Raw genomic sequence first — 9407 nt, 5'->3', positions numbered from 1 at the left:
CAAACTTGCAGTGGAGTAAGGTGTGTGTGTGTGTGTAGTGTGCAGTGTGTAGTGGGTTTCCCATTCTGTCTGTGGCTCTGTGCATGAAGGAAAAATAAAAACACAACAAATGCCCCTGAGTTGTCTCACATCAGGAGAGTGTCTGCCTTTTCCCCCACCCCAGGGTGGCTGTGGCATTGTGAGCAGGCTGCAGACCCCCCAAGCAACCAGAACATTCTGTACCTTGTGGCAATTAGTCCCCACTTGGCTTAAGGACTACGACATCAAAGGAGGTCTCCGCCTGCTGCCCAAGGGAGGCCAGGGGAATGCCTCCAAACGGAGCCCTTTCCCCCTCATTAGGGGGCTCCAGCCACCAGCAAAGCAGACTCCGGACAACAGACCCGGCCCCATCAAAGGCCCCCTTCCCCCGGGAAGGCCTCTGTAATCCGGGGCCTGAGTACGCCCTGCCCCCTCCCCTAGACCAGCTCAAAAGCCGCCGTCTGGGGACACCTGACTACTCTCCAGTTCAAAGCCAAGTGAATCATTAACAAGACAAAACACCATTTTCCTGTCTCAAAACTCCTAGGGTCCTGCTTTGAGCTGCCTGCAGTTCAGGCCTGGAGGATACACAATCCCTCCCCACTTAGCCGTGGGGCCTGAAGTCAGGCCCCTCCTCTGTCTTCTCCCCAGCCTTTGAAAGCCCAGGAACACAAACAGGGGCTAACTTAAGCCACTCAGCAAGGCCTCTTCAGACCTAATCTCTCCTCAGTAAGGTAGGTGGCCAATCTGGAGCCAGCCCTCCTGAGAGCCAGGGCTGAGCGGGGAGAAAGCAGGCAGGCTCTGAGGTTGCAGCCTTCCTCTGCAAGCAAAGAGACTGTTTCTTCTGTACCAGAGCAAGTGATCCACGAGGAAGGGCTGCAAAGCCTCCCTTCAGAATCCAGGATTCTGGAAGAAAAGCACCAGATTTAGCCATTTACTCATCCATCTACTCGCTTGTTCACCCATCCATCTATCCACACATCTACCAACCAATCCATCTGTCCATCCATCCATCCATCCATCCATCCATCCATCCATCCATCCATCCATCCAACCATCCATCCATCCATCTATCCATCCATCCTTCCTTCCATCTGTTTGTCCATCCATCTGTCATTCATCTATTTCTCCATTCACCCATCCAGCCCATTGCATGCCAGATCCTGTTTCAATCCCTGGTTTTCCAGAAAGGAATTACATATAGATCCTGCCCTCAAGCAAATCCCAGTCTACAGGAAGAACAAAGAATACCTCATGGCTTAAGAGACGGCTGTCTGAGAGGGAGCAAGGGAGCTCAGAGGATAGAGTCTGTGGTACCCAGGAAGATAGCACAGAGGGTATGAAACCTGGACCTGGAAGATGAACAAAAGCTTTACCAAGGAGAAAGGGAAAGTACGGTGTTCCAGGCGGCACAAGCAAAATCACGGAGGCCTGAAACAGCCTAGAGTGTTGGTGTAGCTACTAGTTGTTTGGCTCCTGCAGTTTGTGTGAAAGAGTGAGGTCGAGGGTGGAGGGTAGATCATAAAAGGTGAGGCTGGGTCTGGAGTATGTGAGTCCCATCATTCCATGAACTCCATCCCTCGACAAGCACTCAGATCCACCTGAACATGCACGTGTGCACACGCATACACACACATACACTTACACAAACAAGTTCCCACACATGCAAACAGTAAGTATATGCACCAATACACAGAAGCGAATACCTTTACACACAACATGCTAATGCAAATGCACATATGCTCATGCATGTGCAAGCACGTGAACAGTAATGTGCTCACATACACATAAGCACATCTACCCACATTCAAACATGTTCTCATATACACACAAGCATGTGGTCACATACAAACTCACACGTATGAAATATCCTAGCGTATATACTCAAACCTTAACACATACACACAGGCAAACAACAGAAACCCACTATGACATCCATGTTCACCCATACAACCTATGTGTGTGTGTGAGCATGCACAAGTGTGCAATGTGTACTCACACACAGCACCAGGAAAAGGCCAGGAATAGGAGGCCTGCCTCTAATTATTCCTCTGTCATAAAAATGTGCCCCAGGCAGTGAAACTTGGCAGAGCTGGGCCATCAGCTGTGCTTGGGCTGGAGCCGGGTGTTCCTGGGCTTCTCTTGGCTTTGCCAACATGGCAGGGCTTCCCGTCCTGATGTCAGCCTCCTTTCCTTTCCTAGCCCTCCTGAGCCAGTGCTGTTCCCACTGTGAGAGCTGCCTTCTACAGCCATTGCCTTGCTTGGGTGATGAGGCAAGCCTGAATATGTTCAGCATCCCACCACAGGGCAGAGTGGCCAGAGCCAGCCCTATGATGGTGTCTCCTGGACAAATGCCCAGCCAGCTCTGGGCAGGGCAGCAACATTCCAGGTGGAAGACCCAGTGGGCTTCATCCTACTCTTCCAGTTCCATCTCACAGGCTTCTCCAACAGATGCCCTCTGCTACAGCCACCCTGGATCTTCCCTGGACCCCATTTAATTCCTGATGGGATTGGTCATCAACATTAAGCCACAGCTGAGATGCCTCTGAGTCTTAGAGACTAGCGTTTTCCTGGAGCAGTAAGAGGTGAGGTATGATGGGGGTGACATTAGCTGAGCTCTCTTCATTCAAGATCACTGTTGAGGCACTGTTTTACTTAGCCATGGCCCTTCTCTGATTCCAAACCTGATCATCCATCCTCCAACCCACTTCCTGCCCATCCTACTTCCTGTATACTTACCTCTCCTCTGTCTACTCATCTTTCTATCCAGCCATCCAGTCACAGATACAATTCTTAAACAATCTACCCATTTACCCATCCCCTAAAATTTTCAGCCATCCATCCATCCTTCCACTGACTTACTCATTCTCCATCTATTTACTCATTCATTTTATATTTGTCCATCCACCTACCCACTCAGACATCCATCCATTCATCCACTGCTCATCCATCTAACCATCCATTTTTTGAACACCTACCTGTCCAATCATCTGCTCGTCCACCTTCCATCTGTTCATATATCTACCCATCTGCCTATCTGTTTGTTCATCCATTCAGCCAGCCAGCCATATGCTGATCTGTTCATAGACACCAAAATAAAAAAGACCAGGATTCGAATCCTTATGTCACCACATACTACCAGTAGCAGATACTTCATTTTTCTTCCCACATCCTCCCAGTCCTTACCATCTCCATGCACATAGGTCTGAGTTCCAACTACCAGAACCTAAATCTTTTTGCCTGAGGGCTTCCTCTGCAGCTGACCCTTGTCTGTCTCTATGTGTAGAAGGCTGGAGGTGATGGGGCATTAATACCCCTTGGAGGCAGCCCCCAAACAACGGCTAGCCAGAGTTGGTGTATAAATACCCCAGCTTCGTTGTCCTTGGGGGGGATGACTCTGAGGTGGGTGTTCTTTACTGGTGCCTGGAGTTCCCAGCAAGATTAAGCTCCATTTTTCCACAGTTGTCACTTGCTTGATATCATACCACTTTGTTATTTCATCTCCCAAATAAATTACTTGCATTTGCGTCCTTGTTTCAAGGTTGCCTTCTGGAGAACCCAGACTAAGGCACTACATGTGTGACTTGGACAGATTTTTTTTTTTACTGAGACGGAGTCTTGCTCTGTTGCCCAGGCCGGAGTGCAATGGCGCAATACCTGCTCACTGCAACCTCCACCACCCAGGCTCAAGCAATTCTGCCTCAGCCTCCCAAGTAGCTGGGATTACAGGTGCCCACCACCACGGCCAGCTAATTTTCTGTATTTTTAGTAGAGACAGGGTTTCACCATGTTGGCCAGGCTGGTTTTGAACTGCCCTCAAAAGATCTGCCCACCTCAGCCTCCCAAAATGCTGGGATTACATGCTTGAGCCACCGCGCCCAGCCGGACAGAGTATTTAAGTTAGTATGATGCATATCATTGGGTAAGCATTCAACAGAATTCGTTGTTGCTTTTATTATATACTACTATTGACAATAGTAGTAATACATAGGAGATGGCGGAGGTAGTGGTGATAATGCTGGAAGTGGTGATGATGGTGGTGATAGCGGTGATGGACGAGATGGTGGCAGCGGTGGTGGTGAGATGTTTTTGTAGGAGCTTGGCCACTTTCTGGGGTCTTCCTATGGATCTTTGCCAACCTTCTCACTTTGACTCTCCCCTGTGCCCACATTTCGAAGCACACTTTCCTGAGCAGGAACTTGAAGAGGAAGATCGTGAGGGAAAGGGCTGGGGGCTTGAGAAATGGCTCCCAAGTCACAGAGAGGGACAGAAGCAGAGCAGGAGCAGACGCTAAGCTAACAAGGCCTGGGCTTGTCAATAAGAGGTACTTCCATGCTTGCTTTATTTTCCTCTTTAAATCTCTTTCCATCGAGAGCCAGGAAGTGCTTCTCAAATGTTCCTTGTATGAAGAAAACAGTCAAACATTGTCTTCTGAGCTCTTCACTGCCCTGGGATGGCCTGGGCATCAGGGCCTAAGGGCCCTGAGGGGCTCTAAGCTGTGGCCCAGCAGCTGGAGGCCCAGAGAGGGGGAAGAACACCCTAGGGTCACCCAGCATAAGTGAGGCTAAAATGGGATCTCTTGGCTTCTCATTCTTACTTTAGCCAACACATCACAAACTATGACCCCTGAGCCACCCAGAGACAGAGAGGAAAAGAGTGAAAGGACCAGCTGGGCACAAAGACAGAAAAAGACAATAGAATACCAGGCCTCTGAGGTCTTGCAGCTTACGTTTCCCCCCCAACCCACTGGGGCCCTCGAGGAGCTTCCCAGTCCTTTGAGCCAGTTCTGAGTATTCCCCAAGCCCCACCTACCCCGCCCAGGGATCCCAGAATGGGAAGGACTGCAGTTCTTGGGAGACAGACTCTGGGTCTCCAGGGTGGCGTCGTGGCAGGGCCCAGACTCGTGCAGGGCCCCCCCACCCCACCCCAGGGGGTATCAGCCACCATCACATGCTGGGGAGAGCAGACAGGCAGGGGAGGAGTGGCGCCAGGCCCTGGGCTGGCCACTGCAGGAAGACCTGCAGGCACCTGCGGGCACAGCTCCTCACCCCTGCCTCTCTCCTGTGCAGGCCTCATTAACACCCTCCCTGGGGCTGGGGGTGGAGGACAGAGAGAAATAGCTGAGGCAGTGGAAAGAGTCCCAGCTTAGGCTCTTAACTGGTCGTGTGACTTTCACAAACCATCACTTTTCTGTGTCTCCAATTTTTCATCTGTACAACTAGGGTCACAGCACATACAAAACAGAGCCCATTAAGGGGAGCCCACATGGAGCACCTATCAAGTGCCAAGTATGCAGTAGGTGCTCAATAATGGACAGCTGTAGTTGTGTATCTCCAGGGCTTACAAAGGAGCCCCCTTCCTTCCCAAATTCATGGTGCTGCAGGAAACCTTGGTCGCACCTTCAGACTTCTCAATGGGAGTGTTTCCCTCCCCCGGTCACCAAAGCCCCTCCAGAGGAGCAGAGCCTGGTGAGGAGGGGGCCCAGGTCTACACCCTAGGCCATGCCACCTCTCTGAGATCTGGCAAGTGGGCAGTGCTTGTCAGGTGGTGCCCTGGCCCCAAGGGACATTCTTAGCTCTGCCGCGTGCAGAAAGCCTATGCAGCCTACTGGTGAATCCCTCAGTTTTCTCATCTGCTCAGTGGGACAATAACAGTATCTATCCCCATAGGGCTGTTGTGAGGGTGGAAGGAGAGAAGGGGTATGATACTCAGAGAATGGGCACCTCCCTGTGCCCGCATACCAGCCCACCTTCACCAGGGACTGGCTCTGGGGGAGACCCTGAGCTGCTGCAGATAGGCCTGGGCAGCCCCAGGAAAGGGGAGGAGGAGGGAGGAGAGCAGAGAGCGGAGAGCAGGATGGGGTGGAGGGGGCAGTGGAACAATAGCCAGGCCTGCCTTGTGGTTTGCGCCCTGAGAGAGGTGAGTCGACGCTTTCTTGTCATCAGACTTTCCAGTCACCTGCCTGGGAACCTGAGGAAAAGATTAGGGAGCCAAATACATATTGTTTCTTTTGTTGGAGGTGCCAAGTTTGGTGGGATGAATTGGCCATCTGTTCTCCTAGCTACGATCTGGCAAGCCGGGAACCTCTGCTCTCCGAGTTGCCAGTTTCCATCGGTTGCTAACAAAAGCTGGGGGTCGGGGAGGGAACGCGGACTCCCCTACCTCTCCATGGCCCAGCTGGCTGACCCAACGTCAGCCAGGGCCCCTGGTCGAGGTCCACTGGGTGCTCTGGGCCTCAGACTCTAAAACCTGTGGGTGAGCTGGAAAAAGCCCCCATGACCCGGCCTTGGTTTCCCCACCTGTGAGCGAGGGTGGACAGGAACCAGCACATCCTCTGGTTCGGAAGTGCAGAATCGATGGTGTCCTCTGAGGTCTGGGGAGGGAAAGGCCTTCTACGTGGGTAGCCCTGGGGAAGGACCAGGTGGTGCTTGCCCTTTTGAGGGGCTAAACATCAAAGTTCCTGAGCCCGCTTTGCCAGGGTCCAACCATGGGGCTGCAAGAGCCTTCCATCTCCCCTTGAGCAAGCTTCAGAGCAGGGGTTCTCAGCCTGAGGGCTGGTTTCCTCTGGCAGGTGTGGTGAATGGAGTTTAAAACCCCAAGCAGGGATCTTCTTAATTTAGGAACTCCAAGGGGCCCGTGGCAGAATGTTAGGTGGAAATGCATTTTCCCTGGGACAGGGAGAGTCATTTTCATCTGGTTCTCCGGGGACCCTGTGACCTTACAAAGGCTGAGAGTGGGTGGCCTGGGACCTGGAGTTATCTAGAGTGGCAGCCCCAGATGGAGGGACAAGGAGAATAATTAAGCCCCACACCTCAAATGCAGGTGGTGTTAGAGGTCAAAGCAAGCAGCCCAGATGCCTCTGAGCAGCTGCTGAGCGACGCGTGGTCAGGAGAGGACAGGTCCAGTGTGGACTTGGCTTCGGGAACAGGGCGGTGGCTGTTGCCTCACATAGATGCCTACCGCCCTCTGTCAAAGAAAACCAGAGCTGGACGGTAAAGCCGTGCAGACAGATTTTATTCAGACTATCGCAATAGCGGAACAGAGACCTCAGCACAGAACTGGGCTCAACTCCGAATACAGCCCAGGCAGGTGGGAGTTTATAGCCGAGGAGCAGGGAGGGGGTCATGGGATGGAAAATGGCCCAAGAGGAAACATCAGGGGTGAAGGGGATTCTTGCTGAAGGCAGACCAGGGTGACCAGACATCCCCTGGGGCATGGTAGAGAATGAGGAACCTGATCGGATATGAGGGTGATCCTATGTCAAGGTGCTAAAACTAGATTTTACAAGGAAGTGCACGCATGGGGTTAGGAGAAGGTTCTGGAGCCTGACTGAAGCCTGGCCAAGCAAAGCCTCTTTGTCACCCCTCACGGATAGCTGCAGACTGGGACCCACGCAGGAAATGTGACTTGCTATTTAGTCCTCATTTATGCTGTGCTAATGGCCTCAGCAGTCCAAGGCTTGACTTTGCAGCCTCCAGTCTCTGTGCAAGGGACCCTGCTTCATCCGTTCCTCCTATTTCTCCAGAGGGCAAAGGAGTCCCTGCCAGATCACCCATCTGCACTAAGCTTTCTGAAGGCATATTTTATTTAACTTTTAGAGCCATGATAGACATTGAAGCCCTGTTTCACAGACGTGGCCACTGAGGCTCAGAAAAGTAGAATGACACAGCCAAGTCCGCTCAGCCTGCAAGGGCCAGAGCCAGGACAGGAGCCTGAGCTGTCAGATTCCAGTGCCTTCTACATACATCCAGGACTGGTTCCTCTCCCCTTCAGATCCCCATCAACAGGCCACTGGCGAGCACTTGGGTCAGTCTGGGCATAGCCAGTGTCCAGGACTTCATGTCCCCTGCCTCAGATGGGCCTGCGAGCTGCTGGCAGGTATCAAAATCCTAAAATGATTCTCAGCCCCGACAGCTCCCCACACGCCCCTCCCCCACAGCGTGTCTGCTGTGCTCCATCCAAACTGATTACAGCCTCGGAGCCAGGGGGCGGGGGGAGGGATGAGAGCAAGCCGGCCTCGAGAAGACTTGAAAGAAAATTTGAAACACACGTGTGCTGCCCTGGCTCTGGTAACCCTAAGCCCTCAGCCCGTGTGGCCCAGCGGTCTCCATCCCCCGACTGCACCCCCCATCCCCCACCCCCGCCACCTCCTCCCCTGGCCCCACCTGTGTCTCTGAGGGGGCTGCTTTCCAGGCTCAGCCCCTGCCTGGGGCAGCTGGCTGGGTCTCCAAGACCTGAAGAACTCGCAGCTGGGAGAGACCCCCACCACCAGAGCCCCCCTGTCTCAGAAGAGGACTCTGACAGCCACAGAGGGAAGAAAGTTTGCCTGGGATAAAGGGTTGAATGGAAGCAAGACCCCAGACTCCGCACTCAGCGGGAGGGAGGAGGGCGCAGGCTGCTTAGAACACAGCCCTTCCCTGAGCTCCGCTGGCCTGGCCAGAACTGCACCTCGTTTCTCTCTTCCCATGCACCCACCCTCATTCCCAGGAAAACTTGTCTCTTCTCTGCCCTTGCACCTGCTGCCTTCTGCTTTAACCCTTTCCCAGTGAGCCTGGGCTCGGGACCCTCAGGGTTCTGGGTCTAGAGTTTGAAGAGAGGGTGGAGTTGGCGGGAGCTGGCTTTAAGAGCTATAGCCAGGGTTGGGAACCAAAGGTGAGTCCAAGTGACAGGCCCTGCCTCATGCTGTTTATATGAAACGTCCTTCTAGCAATCAGCTTATGGCCTCCAAACATGTGGCTTCAATCTTTCCTTTGAAATATTGGTGGTGGGGGGTGGAGGGCTGCTGCTGCCAACACCCGCTGGATGGCTCTCTGTGCAGCCCAGCTGAGCACTTGCTGTCAACGAATCGCTCCGAGGCCTGTGCCTCTCGCCAATGGCACTCACGCTTGGTTTGCAGGCAGGATTCCTGTGTGGGAGGGTGTGGCCTGGGAACAGGGCTGAGGGGTTGGAGGAGCTGCCGGGCAGCAAAGGGAAGGGTGTCGGGCTTCAGAGGCGAGCAGGGCTGGGTGTGCCTCCTAGCTCAGGCACGTGTGAGCTGGTGGTCACAGCCTGGGCAGCTGGCTTTACACCCCCTAAGGCTTTGTTTCCGCATCTGTCAAATGGACACACACGATCATCATATAATAAAGTGTGGCGATGACATGCGGCCTTTAGCGGTGCTGCACACGAAGCGCTCAGCTTGTGTAAGCCCTCCCCTCTCATCCCTCCCCTTATCTGCCCACCCCTCCTGAGGCTCTTTGTCTGCTGCCTTTTGGCCTGACTTCTGTGCACGGCTGCTTTCTGCTGGCTTCACACGGTATGTTCTGGAAGTCAGGAGAAAAGGATCTGGAGCAAAGCTTTGTCAGGGGTTGGTCGGGTAGGTTCCGGACAAGACCCTTTCCCTCTAAGGG

The 9407-nt window shown here is 53.3% G+C and overlaps 3 annotated features.

The window, feature by feature from the left end:
• Window positions 290–1110: an enhancer, noted in NCBI's record as "OCT4-NANOG-H3K27ac-H3K4me1 hESC enhancer chr5:171050255-171051075 (GRCh37/hg19 assembly coordinates)". NCBI's record gives its function as "activates a minimal SCP1, AML or CMV promoter by ChIP-STARR-seq in naive and primed H9 embryonic stem cells {active_cell/tissue: H9 hESC(naive and primed)}" and the evidence as "EXISTENCE:reporter gene assay evidence [ECO:0000049][PMID:30033119]".
• Window positions 4975–5477: an enhancer, noted in NCBI's record as "H3K4me1 hESC enhancer chr5:171045888-171046390 (GRCh37/hg19 assembly coordinates)". NCBI's record gives its function as "activates a minimal SCP1, AML or CMV promoter by ChIP-STARR-seq in naive H9 embryonic stem cells {active_cell/tissue: H9 hESC(naive)}" and the evidence as "EXISTENCE:reporter gene assay evidence [ECO:0000049][PMID:30033119]".
• Window positions 7463–8448: an enhancer, noted in NCBI's record as "H3K4me1 hESC enhancer chr5:171042917-171043902 (GRCh37/hg19 assembly coordinates)". NCBI's record gives its function as "activates a minimal SCP1, AML or CMV promoter by ChIP-STARR-seq in naive H9 embryonic stem cells {active_cell/tissue: H9 hESC(naive)}" and the evidence as "EXISTENCE:reporter gene assay evidence [ECO:0000049][PMID:30033119]".

The sequence above is a fragment of the Homo sapiens genome, chromosome 5 (assembly GCF_000001405.40).
Source record: "Homo sapiens chromosome 5, GRCh38.p14 Primary Assembly".
Classification (NCBI taxonomy): domain Eukaryota; kingdom Metazoa; phylum Chordata; class Mammalia; order Primates; family Hominidae; genus Homo; species Homo sapiens.
This window is presented reverse-complemented; position numbering and strand designations above follow the sequence as displayed.